The sequence below is a fragment of the Homo sapiens genome, chromosome 14 (genome assembly GCF_000001405.40).
Source record: "Homo sapiens chromosome 14, GRCh38.p14 Primary Assembly".
NCBI classification, from domain to species: domain Eukaryota; kingdom Metazoa; phylum Chordata; class Mammalia; order Primates; family Hominidae; genus Homo; species Homo sapiens.
The window spans coordinates 104,776,592-104,796,120 of NC_000014.9; the positions used below are offsets into that span (position 1 = coordinate 104,776,592).

The 19,529-nt window shown below is 65.3% G+C and overlaps 1 protein-coding gene across 14 annotated transcripts in view, besides 7 other annotated features; it reads right to left on the bottom strand.

Moving 5' to 3' along the window:
- Positions 1–19,157, bottom strand: part of AKT1 (AKT serine/threonine kinase 1) — a 26,400-nt gene extending 7,243 nt beyond the window's left edge. Inside the window, exons 1-6 of one of the 14 annotated variants that reach the window (NM_001382433.1) lie at positions 18,893–19,157; positions 17,553–17,670; positions 16,536–16,713; positions 16,007–16,131; positions 3,497–3,625; positions 68–179 (exon numbers count right to left, since the gene is read on the bottom strand). In NM_001382433.1, coding sequence (NP_001369362.1) covers positions 68–179; positions 3,497–3,625; positions 16,007–16,052 — 287 coding nt within the window. In that variant the 5' untranslated portion in view covers positions 16,053–16,131; positions 16,536–16,713; positions 17,553–17,670; positions 18,893–19,157. Of the gene's footprint in view, positions 1–67; positions 180–3,496; positions 3,626–16,006; positions 16,132–16,535; positions 18,617–18,892 lie in introns of those variants that run through there. The other 13 variants (NM_001382432.1, XM_047431075.1, XM_047431072.1 and 10 more) reach the window with 13 other exon arrangements.
- Positions 15,059–15,700: an enhancer, noted in NCBI's record as "H3K4me1 hESC enhancer chr14:105257987-105258628 (GRCh37/hg19 assembly coordinates)". NCBI's record gives its function as "activates a minimal SCP1, AML or CMV promoter by ChIP-STARR-seq in primed H9 embryonic stem cells {active_cell/tissue: H9 hESC(primed)}" and the evidence as "EXISTENCE:reporter gene assay evidence [ECO:0000049][PMID:30033119]".
- Positions 16,341–16,982: an enhancer, noted in NCBI's record as "H3K4me1 hESC enhancer chr14:105259269-105259910 (GRCh37/hg19 assembly coordinates)". NCBI's record gives its function as "activates a minimal SCP1, AML or CMV promoter by ChIP-STARR-seq in naive and primed H9 embryonic stem cells {active_cell/tissue: H9 hESC(naive and primed)}" and the evidence as "EXISTENCE:reporter gene assay evidence [ECO:0000049][PMID:30033119]".
- Positions 16,983–17,622: an enhancer, noted in NCBI's record as "H3K4me1 hESC enhancer chr14:105259911-105260550 (GRCh37/hg19 assembly coordinates)". NCBI's record gives its function as "activates a minimal SCP1, AML or CMV promoter by ChIP-STARR-seq in naive H9 embryonic stem cells {active_cell/tissue: H9 hESC(naive)}" and the evidence as "EXISTENCE:reporter gene assay evidence [ECO:0000049][PMID:30033119]".
- Positions 17,623–18,264: an enhancer, noted in NCBI's record as "H3K27ac-H3K4me1 hESC enhancer chr14:105260551-105261192 (GRCh37/hg19 assembly coordinates)". NCBI's record gives its function as "activates a minimal SCP1, AML or CMV promoter by ChIP-STARR-seq in primed H9 embryonic stem cells {active_cell/tissue: H9 hESC(primed)}" and the evidence as "EXISTENCE:reporter gene assay evidence [ECO:0000049][PMID:30033119]".
- Positions 18,529–18,848: a silencer, noted in NCBI's record as "silent region_6197". NCBI's record gives its function as "represses an Ori minimal core promoter by ATAC-STARR-seq in GM12878 lymphoblastoid cells {active_cell/tissue: GM12878}" and the evidence as "EXISTENCE:reporter gene assay evidence [ECO:0000049][PMID:35858748]".
- Positions 18,879–18,928: a silencer, noted in NCBI's record as "silent region_6198". NCBI's record gives its function as "represses an Ori minimal core promoter by ATAC-STARR-seq in GM12878 lymphoblastoid cells {active_cell/tissue: GM12878}" and the evidence as "EXISTENCE:reporter gene assay evidence [ECO:0000049][PMID:35858748]".
- Positions 19,109–19,468: a silencer, noted in NCBI's record as "silent region_6199". NCBI's record gives its function as "represses an Ori minimal core promoter by ATAC-STARR-seq in GM12878 lymphoblastoid cells {active_cell/tissue: GM12878}" and the evidence as "EXISTENCE:reporter gene assay evidence [ECO:0000049][PMID:35858748]".

Consider the following 19,529-nt stretch of genomic DNA (forward strand, 5'->3'; position numbering starts at 1 on the left):
ATCCCCGTGTCCCTCCTAAGCGCTGGGGCTGCCCAAGTGCCTGGCCTGGCCGCCACAGCCCACGTACCGCTCCTCAGGAGTCTCCACATGGAAGGTGCGTTCGATGACAGTGGTCCACTGCAGGCAGCGGATGATGAAGGTGTTGGGCCGGGGCCGCTCCGTCTTCATCAGCTGGCACTCTGCGGGCAGGCAGAGCCTCTGTCTGCGTGCATCCCCCTGCCCCTCCCAGGGCCCTCACCACAGCCCCCGCTGCACCAGCCAGCTCCCCTTGCATACCACCCACCAGGTCCTGGGAAGCCCCATCTCTTCCTCTCTCCAAGCCTCAGTTTCTCGCCTCACAGAGTGGGGCTAGGACCCCTGTTCCAGCTCAGACACTCTACTCCAGGCTGAGGCAGCCACACAGGGCATCTGGCCCGGCGTCAGGTCAAACCCCCACCATCGTCCACTCCTACAGTCCTTCCTTCAGTCTCTGAGCCCCGCCGTGCGCCAGGCCTCAGAGGATGAGGGGTATGGAGATCCCACAGAGGGGCTGGCATGAGGGGGGCACCCCAGAAACCTGCTTGTCCCACCTAGTGTAGAAATGTCCTGCTTTTTTCCCAACCTCACCCTGAGTACCTGGGAAATACAGCCACCTGGAGCACACCCACACCTGGGGCACACCCACACCTGGGGCACAGGCACACCTGGGGCACAGCCACACCTGGGGCACAGGCACACCTGGGGCACAGCCACACCTGGGGCACACATACATCTGGGGCACACACACACTGGAGGCAAAGCCACACCTGGGGCACACGCACACCTGAGGCACACACCTGGGGCACACGCACACCTGGGACACAGCCACACTGGAATACACAGACATCTAGAACACATCTAGACACCTAGCCACATCTGGGGCACACGAACACCTGGGGCACACGCACACCTGGGGCACAGCCACACCTGGGGCACAAGCACACCTGGGGAACACATACCTGGGGCACAGCCACACCTACAGCACGTACACCCTGAGGGCTGTGGGAACGTGCGGGGCCCTGAGAGGTGTGAGTGAGTGGAGTGTGTAGCCGCTGGGGCTCCGTGGCAGGCTCTGGCCCAGCCTGTGCAAAGCAGGAGGAGGCTGAGGGGCCAGTGGGGGGCCTCTGACATTCCAGCATCGAGGCCCTGGCAACCACAAGGGGGCCTGGCCAGGCAGCAAGGAAGCTGTCTTCCAGGCCTGGGGGCCAGGAGGGGGCTCGGGACCAGCCTGGTGGGGAGGGTGGCCTGTGTCAACACAGGCCAGAGAAGTGGAAACCGGTGTGAAGCCCCGGCACACCCACCTCCCACTCGCTCCTGGATGGTCCGATCTGCCCCAGTATGCAATCCCCAGGGCCAGAGTCTCGAGCCCACTGCCCCGGAACCGTTCCCCGGAGAAAAGCCCCGGACAGAGGCCCAGCACAGCCCCTGGCCCCTGCCCAGCTCTGCTCCTTGGCCAGGCGCTCCAGGCCACTCACCTATGGCCTAATCTGAAGGCCCCAGCCTTGCCAGCTGCTCAGGCAACACCTCCAGCTGGTACCCACCCGTGTGCCTCTCCAGAGAGCTCCCCACCTCGTTCCTTCCCAATGCCTCGGCCTGGCGAGCACACCCACAGCACCCACCCCCAGCAAGGCCCTGTCCCAGGTGCCACCAGGCACGCTGCTGGCACCCAGCCTCTCCCTGATCCCTGAAGCCCCCAGCCCCAACCGAGGAGACACTGGGGAGGGTGTGGGACAAGTCACAGTGAGTCTCCTGCATGGTTACGAGGCTGTCAGGAGACAGGGGTGTCTGCCTTCCTGGTCTCCCCTCACCCCTGGGGTGCCCTACTCTATCAGGCTGCCCTGCTACTGCTGGCTTGAGGCTGGAAGAGCCAGGGAAGGAGACCTCGGCTTACAGGAACCAGGTCCTGGTAAACCCCACCCCAACCCCAGCCCCTCAGCCTGGGGCTTTGCAGGGCAAGGCCTCTGCCCCTCCCAACTAGAAGCTTCAGGGCACGGTTTGCTGGCCACAGACCACCTAGCAGCCAGGGTGCCAGACTGACCCCACCTCCCCTTATACGTGCAGGCACCAAGGGTGGGAGTCCTTCCCTGCCCAGCCTGGGGACGGATTCCCTGCATTTAACCTCCTCCCAGACCCTGGACCAGAACCTGGGGGTCCAGCAAGTTCAAGGGAGTCGGAGGACCGCAGGCCTCAAAGAAAGGAGGGCAGAGCTACTTGGAGGGGAGGGGCCGATGCAGCACATGGGGATGGAACCTAAGGCCAGCCCCTGGTGGGCACCTCGCTCTGCACCACAGACCTGCCTGAGACAGATCCCAGAGGCCTGCAGTTACCCAGCCCTGCCACATACAGATGGCCCACAACTGGGCCCTAATTAGCCACTCAGTCACACCTGCATGCCCAACCCGTGTCTCTGGCTGCCACAGGCAGAGCTGGGCTCCAGGACAGGGACACAGAAAATGGGGACCATGCTGGGAGGCCCACGTGTCCCCAGCCTCCCACCTAGCAGGGCGCCTGGGTCTCCATGCCAGGGTTCCCGTCTGACATGGGTAGGGTCGCACCTGCCCCCGCTACAGGTAAGGAATAAAGCCACAGCAGGGCGGAGCAGGGAGCGTCACATGTCTCTCATCTCTGTGGGATGCTCCGGCCAAGGTCCCCCGCTGGCCTTTCTGCACCTGCCCCTCCATGGGCAAGGAGGCAGCCTCACAGAGGGGAAGCAAAGGCTCTGCCATGGGGTCTGGAGGCTGAGAGCCTGTGCAGGGAGAGGCACGAGCTCTTCCTCGAGTGATGGAGGCTTCAGAGCTGGAGACCCCAATGGACTCTTGCCCCCTCACCCAAGGGGTTTCCCAAGGAGAGGCCCTGATGGGCTCTATCTAACCCCCTTGGAGGAGGGGCCCCCGGGGCAGCTGTCCACCCTGAGACTGGGCTCTGCTGCCACTTGTCCGGACCCTCCAGCTTCCAGAGCATGGGCACCAGGGAACTGCTCCAGGGTCAGCCAGCCTTGGGACTCGGCCCAGAGACCCCCGCCCAGCCAGCCTCGGCCTCAGGACTCTGCCCAGAAACCCCTGCCCAGCCGGCCTCGGCCTCGGGACTCAGCCCAGAGACCCCGGCCCAGCCAGCCTCGGCCTCGGGACTCGGACCAGAGACCCCCGCCCAGCCAGCCTCAGGACTCAGCTCGGAGACCCCTGCCCAGCCAGCCTCGGCCTCGGGACTTGGACCAGAGACCCCTGCCCAGCCAGCCTCGGCCTTAGGACTCAGCCTGGAGACTCCCACCCAGCCAGCCTCAGCTTTGGGACTCAGCCCGGAGACCCCTGCCCAGCCAGCCTCGGGACTCGGCCCAGAGACCCCCACCCAGCCAGTGCTTGTTGCTTGCCAGCCCAGGACTTGGAGGCTCCAGGGGACCCCCATCGTGGGGCCTGGTGGGCAAAGAGGGCTCCAGCCAACCCCCCAAATCTGAATCCCGAGAGGCCAAGGGGATACTTACGCGCCACAGAGAAGTTGTTGAGGGGAGCCTCACGTTGGTCCACATCCTGCGGCCGCTCCTTGTAGCCAATGAAGGTGCCATCATTCTTGAGGAGGAAGTAGCGTGGCCGCCAGGTCTTGATGTACTCCCCTACAGACGTGCGGGTGGTGAGAGCCACGCACACTCTACCCGTCAGACCCTCGCCAGGCAGCCAGGCAGGAACTGGGTGTGCCAGGACAGATGTGCCTGGGATGCCTGAGTCCCAGGGGGCAGGCGCGGTACGGGAGCTGTTTCTTAGGGCCAGCGACAGAAACGGCCCTGGGTCAACGGGAAGGCAGACTCGCCCCACCACAGCGCCCCTCTCAGAAGAGCCACCCCGAGCTGTGTCTGAAAACGGGCTGGGCCAGCTGGACGCAGGGGATGGAGTACCATGGACAGGAGGCTGGGAAGAGGTCTGGGCCAGTCTGCACAGCCTTCCTGGAGGAGGCAGCCCTAAACCAGCCAGTCCCCAGCAGGCACCAGCAGCAGCTCGGGCCCCAGCTATGGCCACAGGGGCTGCGGGGCTGACAGCATTCCCCAATCAACCAGGGTCGGCCAGGTGGCGACAGCAGGTGACAGTGGCTTGTGTGGGCTGCCCAGCATGGCCGCCCCCCCCGCCCCGCCGCCACCCACCAGGAGGATGGAGCATGGCGTCCACAGTTAGAGGTCAGCACCACTCAGACTGAGGGCCGGGCTCGCGGGACAGGACTGCCCACTGCCGTGGGATCGCACTCCCTGTCTAGGGGCCTGGAGCACCGTCTTGGGGACTGCCGATGAAGCCAGACACGGAGGTGGCCCAGCCAGCTGGGCAGGGGCCCCAGGGCACAGAGGGTGCCAAGTCCCCAGGCTGAGACCCACACTCAGGCCCTGCCGCCGTCGGCCCTGCCGCGTCCCACCCGTGGGTCATTCAGGTACACGGGAACATTCTCCCTCAAGTTTTGCAGCATCAGCCGTACGCAGGCGTTCACACTTCAGAATCAGAGCAGCTGTCCTCGGTGATAGCCCAGCAAGTACCATTTTTCATACTGACACTCGGAAAAAAATGTTCCACTTACATTTTGCCAAGCAAGGAGTTTGAACAACAGGGAACTTACTAATTAGGCAACTGCTTCATCTGAGGGGTCACTGGGCAGGGGTTAGGGAGGGGGCCAGGGTAAGGGGTTGGGGTCCCTGAGCTCTGGGGCCTGGGTTTTCATGCCACACTGAGCCCCAGACAGGGACACCTGGAGGGATGTGGGGGACAAGCAATTGTCCCATCACCAGACCACCCACCACCCAGTCCTGCTGGGTCTTCGTGGTGAGCCCAGACGCGTCCAGCCCTCCCTGGTGCACAGGGAAGTCCCAGCAGGGCAGCAGCCCCAGGGGAGCTCAGAGGACATGGGTCATGGGCATCCCAGCAGGCATTCTACTTTCCAGGGAGCCACGGGGGAGTTCTTTAATAGAGGTGAGCCACCAAGGCTCGACACATGGCCACCCCCCGGCCAGGTGACCTCTCCCTCCTACCCCGGCCCCAGCTGCCCAATGCCCTTCCCACCAGCACCACGGGGCGTGGTCTCCACAAGACCAGCCCTCTCTCTGCCCAAGCCAGGGCTGCTGGGGGGATGCTGGTGGAGGGTGGGGACACCCCACCCAGCAGGGCCTGAGTGTGGGAAGAGGCTGTTGTCAGGTCTGGGGTGGACCAGGAAGGGGACAGCCACAGCCCACTCATAGCTGCCTGACACCTCTGGAGGACGGCCAACACCCAGTTGCAGGGAGGATGATCCAGGGCCCAGAATCTGCCCCTGTGCCCAAGAGCACTCATCAGGAGACCCCACCCACTCCGCAAGCCCTCCATGCCCCTGCCAGTGGGCTGCCGAGCAGGCGTGGTCCTGCCACCCTTGGGTGCCGGCTCCTGTCCCTGACCTGGGATCTCGCACACCCCCGAGTGTGCACATACACGCACATACGTGCCACGCAGCTCCACCCCGCCTCCCACGTCCCCTCCCCCAGCCACAGGGCCCCTGCAGGTGCAGCGGGCAGGCAGGGGCGCTCAGTGAGAGCAGAGCAGGCTCAGGGGGCTGCATGCAGCCCACCCCACCCGTCCCCCATCCTGGGCCACCCCGCTGCTCACGCCCACCCGCCTGCATGCCAGTCTGGAGCTGTCGGCCCCTGATGGAGTGCCTCCCATCCTGCCAGCTGCCACTCCCCGGGACGCTAACTGAGCGGGAAGACTGATGAGCGCCCAGGCCCGGCACCCCTGAAACCCATCTTATCCACCAACTGCTGCCAGCCCCCACCGTGCCCAGCATGGCCCCGTGCTGCCCCCGAGCACGCAGCTCCCGTGCCCAACCCCAGCCTTGCCCCTGACCCTGCTGCCACAAGCCCAGCCCCAGGTTCTGTGAGCTGCATCTGGGGGGTTCTGGGAGCTGGATCTGGGGGTGCGGGAGGGGCAGGCCCAGGGGCGGCGCTTACCAGGCGTGGGGGGTGGGAGAGGACAGGTGCCCAGCCCCGAGCATTCCTGGGGAGTCCTGGGATGGGCAGAGGCCCAAATGGGCCCTGGGCTTTCAGTGCCTTCCCCTCGCCTGGCCCCACAGACCCAGGGAACAGACGGCGATCAGGGCCTACCCCAGGAGACGGGTGTGAGTGAAGGGGCCTCACGTGGCCTTTGTCTTCGGCATCCCAGCCCAGCACACAGACCCCTCCAGGGGAGGAGCAGGATCCCCAGGGACCCGGGGTAAGGGGTCCAGAGACACACAGTTCTCTTTCTTCATCTCTCGCCTAGAGGGTCAGCTAGAGGATCACTTGGGGGGGTGCCAGCTGCAGCCAGGGCCGTGGCGCGCATCTTAACGAGTTCAGCCCAGACAGGATGCTGGGTGGGCGGCCAGCCCCGACAGCAGATGCGGCAGGGCCCCACTACTCCCTGATCCAGGACTGGGGTGACACAGGACGGGGCAGGTGGAGGAGACAGCCACCCGGGGCCCAGCATCACTGTCCTCATGGCCACAGGACGCCTGCAGGCCTGCACCTGCCTACTCCGGGTCCCTCAGGAGGGTGGGAGCACAGACACATCAGCCAGGGCTGCCCTCCCAGACCCCTCACACAAAGAGACCAACCCACATGGAGTCTTCTCCTTCACTATCCTGAGGGTCCCCAGGGGAACTGGAACCTGTCATCCAGGACTTAACTTGAGTTCCCCACCCTGTTGTGGTCCTCAGATGCCCCCCACTCGAGGCAGGAGTACAGTCCACTTGAAGAGTGGCCTCTCAATCCCTGACACCCCAGGAAAAGTGCCCTGCATTGCTGGGGGAACTGGAACCAGGCAGTAGGGACCTCGTCCTCCACACCGACCATGGGAAGCACCCGCCACAGAGGGGCCTTCCATCTCCCCACCATCAGCCAGCTGGCATCCCCCCACCCCACCCCAGTCACCCCCCCAACACCACCCCACCCACCTGCCTGCACAGCTGAGGGCACCAAACACAGAGTGGGCACAGACCCCCAGGTTGCCACGCCAGGCCCTCACTCCAGACGGGTACAGGCAGGCAACAAATGGGGAGGCCAGGGCACGCCCCACCCCACACACAGCCAGAGTCATCTCCTGCCAGCAGCCACTCCCAAGGGCAATGGAGACCGCCCAGCATTCAGGCCCAGGGGGCCTCTTCAGTCCCTAACTCTCACACCCCCATGCTGGGCTCAAGAACCCCCAAGTCCCCACCCGCTGCACATGTTTCAGACCCGGGACCTGGAGCAGGCAGGGTCCCAGTGCAACCCCGGCCTGGGCCTCAGGGTCTGGCAGGGAAGACGGCTAGGTGCCCCTTCAGAAATGTCAGCAAGTCCGGATGGGGGACCCCACACCACTGCCAGAAGACCTGAGTGGGGGGCCGAGTGGAGGACGGCACTGGGGACTGGTCCCACCTTCCTGCCCCATGGCTGGTCCCCTGGGCAAGGGGGAAGCAGCAGCTCCGGTCCCACCCTCCTGCCCCATGGCCGGTTCCCTCGGCAGCGGGGAAGCAGCAGTTCCAGTCTCACCCTCCTGCTGGCCCCCTGGGCAGTGGGAGGCAGCAGCTCCGGTCCCACCCTTCAGGGTTCTCTCAAGGCCAGCCCTGGGCCAGGTGGGAGCCACCCTGACCCTTAACCCTGTGACACTGCACCTATCCAAGACCAGGTCCTGTGAAGCCACAAGGGCAGGGGCTCCTGTGCCTGATGAAACCCGTAACCCTCCCCACCAGCCAGCACATCCATGGCCCAGGGCTCCAGGCATGGGAGGTGGCTGCCCTCGGTGGGGGGTAGGCAGTTGGCCAGACTCCTGTCCCTGCCCGGGGGGACAGCGGAGACCAGGCTCCCTCGACTCCTCCTGCACCTCCTGGGCCCCACACAACCCCAGCCCTGGTCCCTCTGGCATCCCGATGTCCCGGGTGGCCCTCCGGCAGGAGTGACCTTCCATCCCCAACCCCGCTCATCCCCAGGAAGGGGCTGGAGCACCCCCAGGGAAAGAGGGTTCCTTCCCAGAAGTCCTCCTGGACCAAATACCGGGGTTCTGAGAGGAAGCTGCTCCTGCCTGGCCTCCCCCAACCCACCCCACCACCACCACGGGGACCACATGGACAGTCACAGGCAGCCCACCCTCTCCACGCCTCACACACGTGTCCCAGGCCACACTGTGGGTCAGGCCCCCCAAAGCGGCACCCACTTAGACATGGGGGCCAGGACCCACGCGCCATGGGCAGGACTGGGTGGGCCCCTGAGGGCCAGCTGGTGGCCCTCCACGTCCCGGGACTGACCACCTCCTGAGCCACCAGGTGTGTCAGCCCCCCTAGGCCACCACGTCCTCAGCTCCCTGAACATTCTCTCAAAGTCCCCAGTTCTCAGGAAACTGCTGGATAAACACTTCGCAGAGACGGTGGTGGCAGCGGCTGGCAGGGTGCCAGGCGGCACCGAGCTGCTTCTCCACAGCAAAGTGAGCCCAGCAGGCCCTGGGAGCGGGCGCCAGCTGACAGCGGCCACCGTGGTCCCCACTGCCGACACATCCATCGCCCCGACAGCTGCCGGGGGCCCATTTACCTTCTCCAGCACATTGAGCAGACGGCTCCGCTGACGGCAGCCCATGAGGGGCCCGCAACCCACCCTCCCCGCCTGCCAGGAGACCGCACAGCTCACCGCGAAGGGCCCGGCCTGCCAGGCCTCTGCCCGGGCCCGGGAGTACACACCCCTTTACCAGCAGCCCTCGAACCCTGTAAACAACCAGGCTGGGGTGGGGGCAGGGGAGGGGCCACACAACGGAGGCCAGCTGACCCCACTTGGCTGGAGCCCCCAGGTCTGTGGGTGAAATACATCCACTGCTCCTCCCGGCACAAGCCCTTCTGAGGGGGCACAAGTGGCCAGTCTGCACAAGGAGAGGTGTCTGTTCCCGCCAGGCAGAGGACTGGCGCTCCACCTGCCTGGGCCTCGCCCAGCCCAGGACCCATTCTGCTCTCCCAGAAAGCCCACCAGGCAGGCAGGGCGGGCAGGGCTCATCATGCCCATCAGCTCCCTGGGAAAACGGAGACTTAGGGGAGGTGACCCTCAGAGGCAGATCATGACCAGAGAGACCCCAGGTCCTGCCGCCAAGGCAGGGGTTGTAACTTGACACAAACTGCAAATTCTTCACCTCCTTCCGCTCCACCATGGAGCAGGCCTCAGCCCGACACACACACCCCGGGAGGAACATGGTGCGGGCAGGCGGCACCACCATGACCCCGTCCACCTCGCTGAGGCACAGCCGGAGGCGCTGGGGCCTCTCTTCCTGCCACTCCAGGGAAGCACCTGGGTCTCAGCTTTCCATTCTCCTGGGGCTCTACTGGGTGGGGTACTGGGCCTCCCTGGTGCTGCCCCTGACAGACCACCTGGGCCTGGATGTCCTCCCCCACAGGCACTGCCCGTCACCCACCCCTCGGGCCGGCAAAGGCACCCCACCTGCCACACACCCATCCATCGCAGAGCCCAGCACATCCCAAGACCCTGTCCCTGTCCCTGTCCCCCACCTCATTTTTGGTCTGCCCCAAACAAGCCCCACCCATGTCATGGCCCACCCTGCCTACTCAGGACCCCTGCAGATGAGGCTGCAGCCCCTCCCTGGCGCCTCCTACTCTGCCCCCGCCCACTCTCCCCATAACTTGCAGCAGGCTTTGCCAAGTGCCCTCCACCCAGTGGGTTCCCAGGGCCCTCACCCTCGCTCCCTGCGTGGGAGGAAGCTGGGCATGGGGACAGCACACAGTGCCTGCTGCGAGGGAGGGCTGGCCACAGTGTCCCACGTGTAGACACTGCCCTCGGGAAAGGAAGTGGGCACGGGCACAGGCTCCTTCCGGGGCTCGGCCGGGGGCACGCAGCCATGCCCACAGCCCCTCCCTCCTCCCGTCTCTCTTGGGCAGGGCCCCTGGCGGTTGAAGGGCTCCAGTGCTGGCCTCTCAATCCCTGACACCCCAGGAAAAGTGCCCTGCATTGCTGGGGGAACTGGAACCAGGCAGTAGGGACCTCGTCCTCCACACCGACCATGGGAAGCACCCGCCACAGAGGGGCCTTCCATCTCCCCACCATCTTGTTTCTGCCCCAACTTGGAGCCACGCCTGGGGCAGGAGGGCCCCCAGAGCACGGCCAGCTGTGGAGGGTGCTCCTTCTGATCCCCCGGCCTGCTGGGACATTGTGGCCCTGACCCCCGTGGCCTCACCCCACACCTCACCAAGCTTGTGCAGCTCAGCGTCTCCGCGCCCTACACCTGGCTGCTGTGCCCCTGGCCCCAGTCTGTGGGGAGGCCAGCCAGACCCTGGCCAGCCGAAGGGCCTCTCTGCATTCTCCAGGCCCAGGGAGCAGCCACCTCCCCGCCAGGCCTGCCCAGGGGGTGTCTCCACCCCTGAGCTGGACAACCAGCTGAGGGCCTGGGCAGGTGGGCCCGCCAGGTTACAGGGTATGGGTGGGGTCTGCAGTCACCGGGCCCGCCTGGGGGGTGTGTGAGCCCAAACACAGCGCCCCAAGGATCCCACCCCAAAGCCCGCAACATTGGCAGCAGAGTCACCCATGAACTCCCAACCCCCTCAATTCCAACGTTTCTGAAATCCAAACCTATCATTCCTTAAGGTTCAAGGAAAACACACCTAAAGGCGGCATGGCAGGGAAGGGAACTCCCGTTGGAGATGAGGAAGTAAGGGGCCTAGGGTTCGCCTAACAGCCCCATCCTGGCCTGGAGCCCCAGGGCCCTCTGCCAACCTGCCCGGGGCCCCAGCGCTGGGCTGGGGGAACCTTCTCCTGAGGCCATGGGACTAGGCACAATGGTCCAAGCAGACAGAAGCAGCAGGCAGCTGCCCACCCAGGGTGGCCTGGGGAGCAGGCCCAGAGCCACAGCCACAGCCACCAGTCTCAGCTATGGGAGGGCCCGAGGGCAGGGTGCTGGCCCCAAGCCGGGCCGGGTGTGCCCAGGCAGAGGGGACGCCAGCGGGGGCCGCGCCAGTTCCCTCCGCTCAGCCTCGTGCAGGACTTCTAGGAACCCGGCCTGATGCAACCCGGCCAGGCTTCTCCTGAGAGTGGAAGGTGTACGGGGGTCTAGGCCCCAGCACAGGAATCATTCCACCCACATTCTGTCCACTCTCCTGGGCCTCAGTTTCCCTTCCCGGAGTCCAGCCCCCCACAGGGCATCCCTGCCCAGAGAGGGCCAGTGACCAAGAAACACACAGGAAGAAGAGCTGTCCACTCAGGAGCCACCAGGCGTGGGGGCTAAGGTCCAGGGCTGGGGCCAGCAGTGACCCCTCACCCCCACTCAAGGCCACCTCGGCTTCCTCTTTTGTTGTTTTTGAAGTGAGAACTCAACAAGCTCCCAAAACAGGAACCTCCCTGATGCTGGCGGCCTCCACCACAGCCATGCCATGACCTCCACCAGCCTGTGCCTCCTGCCCCTCTCCCGGGTAGGCCCAGGGCTGTTGGGACCCCCACTCTCTGCCCAGCCCTCCCACCAGGAGCCAGCACACTTGCCTCCCCATCTCTGTCCCTGGCCTGCCCACGGGGGCCGTTCCAGACCCTCAACGCTCCCCCAGGGGAGGCAGAGCTTGGCACTAACCAGCCCAGGGCCCGCGGGTCTCACACTGAAGCCACCTAGACGCAGCCTGGGGTTGACCCTCACCTGACAGCCTGGGAAAAACTGAGGCCCAGGAGGCACAGGCAGCCCTGGCCTGGAGCCCAAAGGTTCCCACAGGCTGAGGGGAGAGTCTGCGGGCTCCCTCCCTCAGGGTCCTGCTGGGCCCCTCATCCTGGCGGGGTAATGAGCAGCCTCCATCTGCACACAAACAATTAGCCCTGCGGGGCCCTCCGCAGCAGCTGCTCTCTGGAGTGGGCTCAGAGTCCCCCACAGACCTCTTCTCAAGGGTGTTTACTCAGCAAAGCCAAGGCCTCCTCCAGGATGAAGGGGAGTGGCCTGTACCCTCTGAGGTCCCCCACCTCACGCAGGGACCCCAGGACCAGCTGGATGGCTGAGCAGCAGCTGGGGATGCAGTGAGGTTCTATGTCGCTCACCAAAGCGAAGTAACACACTGGGGTAGGAACCACTCTCTCCCTGCCTCAGTGCCCCCCCGCAGGGACAGCCAGTGCCAGGACTTCAAGGCGGGGAGAGGGGGTGGGAAGGAGGCCCAGCCTAGGCACCTGCTTGGGGTCAGAGACCAGCCTCCATACTCCCCACCGGGACGCCTGGGGCTAACTCAGCAGGAGTGGTGAGGGGGCTGCCCTGAGGCCTGGACTGGGGGGTCTATGCCAGGCATGGGCCCGGGGTAGGGCATGGCAAGGACTCAGATGTCCGGAGACTGGACCCTCCGTGAGCCGCATGGACACACGGTCCCGTGTCACCCGGGCCCGGCCAGGCACCCAGATCCGTGGCTTGGACACGCTGCCCACACACTCAGGAGCGTCTGCCGCGTAACCCACGCGCCCCAGGCAGCTTCCCTCGACCCCCGCCCACTCGGCCTTGGCCTGCTGGGTCACAGCCTGCCGAAGGCAGCCAGGCCTGCAGCTCTTCCCCGGCCCCTCTCGGACAGCGACCAGCCTGAGGGAGTCCAGGTGGTGCCCCTGCGGCCGGCACCCACTCCTGGCCTAGGCCCAGCCCTTTCTCGAGAGCCCAGAGCACCTCATCCTGGGTCCCAGCATCCCGGCCACCCGCCTCGGCCCTCTCCTGACCCACTTGGTCCAGCCATGTGGACGGGGGGACGCTCAGGAAGACAGCCGCGAGTGGACAAAAACAGGCTCCAGGCCGGGGCTGCACCAGGGCAGCTCTCCACGGGGCTAGGCTGCAGCCAGGCTGGTGCACGGCCCCAGGAGTACTGGGGCAAGCGGGCAAGGTGAGCAAGCTGTTTGGGGAAAGTACCTCAAAAGAGCCACACAGCCTCTGGCCAAAGCCTGGCACGGAGCTATCAAAGGAAGGAAAACTGCAGGCTGGAGGCCGAGTTCAGCCAGACCTGCGCCCTGGCCCAGGATTGATTTTTTAAAATTGTCAGCCTTCAAAAATCAGGAGACTTCACACAACAGAACAAATCTTTGAAAATGCAAACGTCTGAGCAACACTGAGCCCACCAGACCACCAATGGCCAGAGCTGAGCTGGGCTGCTTATCCAGTGAGACAGCCGAAACAGGAGGGGACATCTGGCCCCCTGTCCCTATAGGCCCCACCAGCCTCCTCACTAGCTCCTGCCCTTAACAGCCTAAGCTCACCCTCCAGGAACCATCTCCCTGTTAGATGTGCAGACCCAGAGGCCTCGCCTGGGTCCAGCCACAGGTCCACACAGGCCTGCAGCCGGAACTCCTGTGTCCCCATGCCCGGTCCCTTCTGTCCCTGAAGCTCCTCTGACTCAGAGCACACACATCAGAACAACAGAAAGCAGCCTGGGCCACTTCCCAGAGATGACGCTCACCTCCCAAGGAGCAGGAGAAGGAGCCTGCAGACACTGCCACCCCACCCCTCACACACAGGGCATACCCGTCCCCTCTCATCTCAATGACCACATCACCCCTGAAGGCACCATCACGCCACGTGTGGCCAGCCCAAGTAGCCGTGGTGGGACTGTCACCTGGGGATTCAGCTGAGAACCAAAGTGCCCCAGGCCACGGTCGTGGGGAGTCCCGGCAAAGGGGACAGGTGCGGGCCAGCCTCTGAGACAAGCACCCTGACCTGCAGGAGCAAGGCTGGGGGGGAGTGGAACAGGGCGTCTGCAAGGGGCTGCGGCCGGGCCTGGAGGACAGTCACTGCGTCCCTCCCTCCCTCCCCACCCCCAGCCAGGCCTGAGCACTGTGAAGCACGGGTGGGGTCAGCCCAGCACAGCCCTGCTAGGGACAGGAAGGCAGCTAGTACCTCTAACCAGTGTTGCGGGTGGGGCTGGCCCTGCCAGGAGGGTGGCACAGCACATCTGCAAGACACACAGGGGACCCCAGGGACGGGAGTGGCGAAATGCGGCAGGCCCCGGAGGACAGGCTTTCCTCCGCAAGGAGCGGCCGGCCATGCGGGTGGACGCCACCTGCTCTCGGCAACAAGAGGGGCTATGCCTGCCAAGGGCATATGTCATATCCACGCCACCTCCCATCCTCAGCGCCCACTACACTGGGGATGGAGGAGGAAGAGCCGGGGGTAGAGGTACAGGACCCTCTCTCCTGGCCTGAGGCTAGGGGCCAGATGACAGAGCCCAGAGGCTGCTGAGGCTGGCCGGACCCCAACTCAGGGCCGCCCACAAGCCATTCTCCACTCCACCAGGTCTCTCTCCCACCACCGCTCCCTGGTGTAGATGGGGAAACTGAGGCCCAAGGAGCTCAATGACCTTGCTCTTGGAAAGGGTCATGGCGATAGAGTGGCTAACCAGGGTTCAAACTCAGCTCTCTGGACGCCCCACTGGGCCTGATGTCCTGTCCCTGCCAGGCCCCTCCTGAAGGCACGACATCAGCAGCAGCCTGAAAATCACCTGGCCTCGGGGGAGCACTCCTGCCTAGGCCCAGCTGGCTGATGGGTGCCCCAGTAACTGGGGCCTGGGCCCCTGGGCAGTCAAGGCCCTGGCATCTCCTGGGTCAGCCCGAGATCCAACAGTCTATCAACAAACACACATTTGCCAAGGATAAAGAAGCAGCGGCCCCAGGCAGCAGACTATGTGACACAGAGAGGAACAGGGCCAGGGTCGGGGCAGGGGGTCCCTGACACCAAAGAGGGCTGTGAGGTGAGGAGAGGACCTCCAGGCACAGGTGGCAGGACTCCTGGGGAACAAGCAGGGGACAGCACACGGGGAGGGGATGGAGAAGGCAGGATGCGGCAGGAGGCCTTGGGGGGAAGCAGAGCCAGAAGCTCCCCAAGGACCACAGGCGTCTGCAGCCTCCTTGTCTTCATCTCGAGGCCCCGCGTGCCATCACTGGTAGCTGCCCACTCAAACACTCCAAACACACAGCCAGCCACACCCCTGATTCCCCCAGCATCTCATCTCGGTCACTCCTTCACCCCACCCCCAGGCTCCTGTGGCTCCTTAGGCCTGCTCTTCTGTGAGCTCCTATACATCCCACAATGCCCCATCTTGTGACACCTACTTTTGCCACACCTCCCTGTCTGCTCCAGCTGTGTTTGGGGTCTCCCCACTACCAGATGTGAAACCCATCTGCTAGAGGGTGTACGTAAAGCCGGGGGGCTGCTGGCATGAGATCACTAGAACTTAGGAGGGAACAAGTCTGGAAAAAGAAGTCAGGAGAGGGCGGACCGATTCCGCCTGGGGCAGAAGAGAGTGACTTGGCCAGAGGACCTGGACCTGAACAGGAAGCCCACCCTAGCAGGACAGAGGAGCAAAACAGCCACCCAGACTCCACCGCACCCCGCTGAGCAACGGAGGGTGGGTGAGGCAGAAGGGCCTGCACAGGGTTGGAAGGGGTGGGGCTATGTCCCCAGCTCCCATCCCACCCAGCTGCTGGCCAGGCCCCTCGGGCAGCACCTCCTCCATAGGCTGCAAGGCCAAATGAGTGAGGAGGGGGACACAGGGGCTGGGGGACTTGGCTCAGCCAGCTCTGCAGCTCCAAGGCAAACATGCCCTGTGCCCAGGCGGTACGGATTCCCCCCACCCCCAAAGCTCAGGCCTGAAGCAGGCACCAGGCCAAGCCAAGCAGCCCTGCCCTGCCCTCAGGAGCCCTTGGGCAGTGCCCTGGGCCGCCAGCGTGCCAGACCCTGGAACAGCCCAGTGTCCTCGCTGCCTTCCAGGAAAGCCAGGAGAGAGGCTGGCAGCAGCTCCCCCGCCTGCCAGGGCCCACACCAGGAAGCCACTCAGATGGCCGGCCCTGCACAGGGCCTCATCCTCCTGGCCTCCCCGAGGCCGTGCCCTCCATGCCATGGGAAGACATGGGGCCCAGGACACTCACCCTAGGCCAGCCCAGGAGCCCCAGGGGAGGCAGCCCCTCCCACCCAGCAGGGCACAGGCACTCACAGACCCTGGGGCTACTACCCCCATCTCTCCCTCCCCAGGCCCAGCCCTGGCAGCGGGTACTAACCTCGTTTGTGCAGCCAACCCTCCTTCACAATAGCCACGTCGCTCATGGTGCCCGAGGCTCCCGCGACGCTCACGCGCTCCTCTCAGGCTGGCGCTCCCCGAGCCCAGCTGGCCTGGCCACAGCCTCTGGGAGAAGCAAAGGAAGCTGAATGTGAGGCCACGCCTGGCTAAGGGCAGCTCCTCGCCCTGGGTGAGCCAGAGACCCACTGCACGTGCCTGGGGGCTCCACCCGCACCTGCCTTCCCAGGTGGGCTGCCATCCCTCTAAGCTCTCTGACCCCCATCTGCCCGCCTGCCTTCCCTCTCCCCAAAACACTCAGGGCTGCCAAGTGTCAAATCCATGTAATTGAACACAGTTCCCTGGACCTGGGCCTCTCCTTATTCTAGGCTTAGAGCCTCCAGCCCCTGCCACCACCACCCGCAACAGCCAGGCCCTGAGAGCTGCTGCCTTGCTCACCTCCCCATTCCCACCTCCCCCAGCCGTTGGACAAATCACCCCCATCCCCAAAAGGCCTTCCCAGCCTCCCTAACCTGATGCACCAGCTGACAGGCTGCCTCCTCCAGGCAGCCCCTTTGACTTCTTTGACCCAGGCTGGCTCGGCCTTCCCTAAGCCCCTGGTGACAGATGGCCCCGTTTGCTCTCCCTGTCCATGGTGTTCCTACCCATGGATCCTGGGACAGGGCACAGGGCTCCTCCCTGCTCCCCAGACTAGGAAAGCAAAGAAATTCAAACATGAGGAAGACAGGACCAGGATGCAGGCCACTGGCGCAAACGGGAGTCCAGAGCCCTCCAGCGCAAGCCCAAAAACCTCCTGGGAGAAACCCCAGGCCCCTCCTAAACCACAGCGCCCCTGCCGGTCTGAATCTGGTTCATTCATTTGGCCAACATGTACCGGGCGTCTCAGGTTTTGCCAGGCCCAGTGCTGGGCGCTGGAGACAAAGAGAGGTTCAGACAAGTCCGTCAGTGAGGAGCACCCAGTCCAGGGTGGTTACAGACCCATAATTACAGCAGTCGGGAGGCAGCAAGTAAGTGGGGGAGCACTGGACAGGCCCCCGCCCTGCAGCGGCCCACCAGCCAACCCTCACCTGAGCACACTTTATCCATTGATCCTGCATGGCTTCCTCATTTCCCCTCTGATGGATGAACTCCTAGGCATCCCTCAAAACCCAGTTCCCACATCACCAACTACAGGCATCCCCAGAAAGAGCACTTCGCATGCTCTTCCTGTGAGCAGTCCTCTGCTACCCTTCCAGATGGGCCTTCCTGAGGGGAGGAGGGTCCTCTCTGGGACCTCCAGGCCAGGCAGAGACCCCTGACGACCTCTGTGGAATGGATCCCAACATGGGTCTTTCCACAGCCAGCTTAGACGCTCTCCCCCCAGGCCACCTTTCTGGCCTCCCGAGGCAAGGGCTGGACACCCACAAAGGGTTGCTTTGCACTGATTGTCTTAAGCTACACTTAGAATGGCAGGAAGGCCCACTGCCTTGTGTCTAATGCCAGGACAGGGAAGACCACACCTTACCCAAAGAGGGAAATGCCCCAAGTACTTAGCAGGATGGAAAGCAGGCCAGACTCGAGGAAGGCACCGCAGGACTCCGAGGGCAGGGCTCCGAGCCGCGCACGCCTCAGGCACAGGGGGCTCTGACGACACTGAGTGGGCGTGGCCTGGAGGCAGAGGGCTGGACTCAAAGACCTCTGGATGTCCCCCCACCCCCACACGGGCCTGAGCCCCTCCAAGGCCTGCTGCTGACAGAGTCAGACAGCTGTCCAGAGCCATGTGTAAAAATACATCTGTGCTCACACAGGGTGGTGTACGTCTGCACAGAAACGTATACACCAGGCCAGCACAGGGCTGCCTGTGGGGGCGGAGGGACCCCGACTTCCCACAGCCTCCGTACCTGCCGCCTGCCTTTACCATAAGCACATATTCTTGCTACTATTATTAAGTCACAACTTAAAAAAAAATACTCTGTTTTCGAAAGGGCTCCTCCATCTGCCTCCAGAACCCTGGTGTATGAGAAGTCTACACAGCTCCCGGGAGAGGCAACCGGACCCCCACCAACGGACTCCGTCCGCCCTTCGCTCGGATGAGGGACTCAAAGCAGTCAAGAAGTGGCCACCTGGAGCAAGGCCGAGAGACCCAGGAGTGAATGTGGGGCGGCCTCTGGCTGCAGAGCAGGGGCCCAAGCTCACCCGCTGACCAAGGCAGCACTCAGAGGCCGTCCCGACAGGACCAAGCTCGCTAGCGCCCCAGGATACTCAATCTAAGGGGCAAGCCCCAGCTGCCCTCCAAGCCTTGGCCTCTGGGATGGGCGGGCAGGACCTCCAGGGCCCACCCAAGACAGGAAGCAGTTCCGGGGCCCAGGAGGGTCACAGTCCTTTGTGGCTAGCCTGGGTACCCCGCCACCACGTACAACTTTTCGTCCGTGGGAAACGAAGTCTCCTTCCGGGGCCCTCCCACAAACTTGAAGGCCGGCCGCGGCGAGTCTTTCTCCAACCCCGGGGCACCTCCGCCGGCTGCCTCGCTGGCCCAGCGCCCGGGGAGCCCCACGGCCCGCAGGGGCACCCCGAGCCCCAGCTCCAGGCCCGGCGGCGTCCCTTCTCTCGGGTCCCGGCCTCGCCCGGCGGAGCGGCCTCCCCAAGGTCATGAGGGAGGCTGGGGCCGGCAGCCTGCACCCCCGGCGCCCGGCGTGGGGCCGCCCTCCCTTGGCCGGGCCCGCGCGCCCCGCGCCCTCCCCGCCCAGGCCCGCTCGGCCACTTCCTGCTCCCGCTCCTCCATTCTGGCGGCGCCGCGGCTCGCGCCCCGGCCCGACCGGCCGCGAACAAAGCGGCCCGGCCCGCGGGGAGGAAATCCAGGCCCGGGCGGCCACGGCGGGCGGGGACTCACCGGGCCGCCGCGTCCGGGCGCGAGCGCGGGCCTAGCCGGGCCGCGGCCTCCGGCGCCCGCCGCTCCGCATCCCCGCGGGCCGGCGCTGGGCGGGGCCGGGCTGGAGGCCGCGGCGGGCGGGGGCGCTGCTCGGGGCCGGGCCTCGCGTGCCGCCGCCGCTCGGTGCCCGGTGCCCAGCGCTCGGTGCTCGGCCGCCTGCTCCCGTCTTCGGGCCGCGCTGCGTGCGCTGGGCCAGCCGCCTGCCGCGCTCGGTCCTGCCGCCGCCGCCGGCCCGCCCTCTCCCCGCCCCGCGCCCGCCCCGCGCCCGGAGCCGCCCGCCCACATCCGCCTCCGCCGCCCGGGGCGTCCCCACCGCGCGGCCGGCGGCGAGGGCGGAGCGCGCTCGGGGAGCGCGCGGCCGGGCTGAGGGGCAGCTCCCGACGACCTGGGGCCTGGGCTGGGCCGCTAACGGAGCCCGGCCACCAGCCAGCCCGTCCCGGGGCCACGCCCTCTCTGGCCTCAGTTTCCCCGTCTGTAAAGTGACCCGGCGCTTCTGGGCTCGCTCTGCCGTGACCCTAGCAGAAGGGGCCCGAGACAGGTCAGGGACGAATCCCGGACTTCTGCCTCCGCGCGCGGGGCGGGGGTGGCTTAGGTTGAC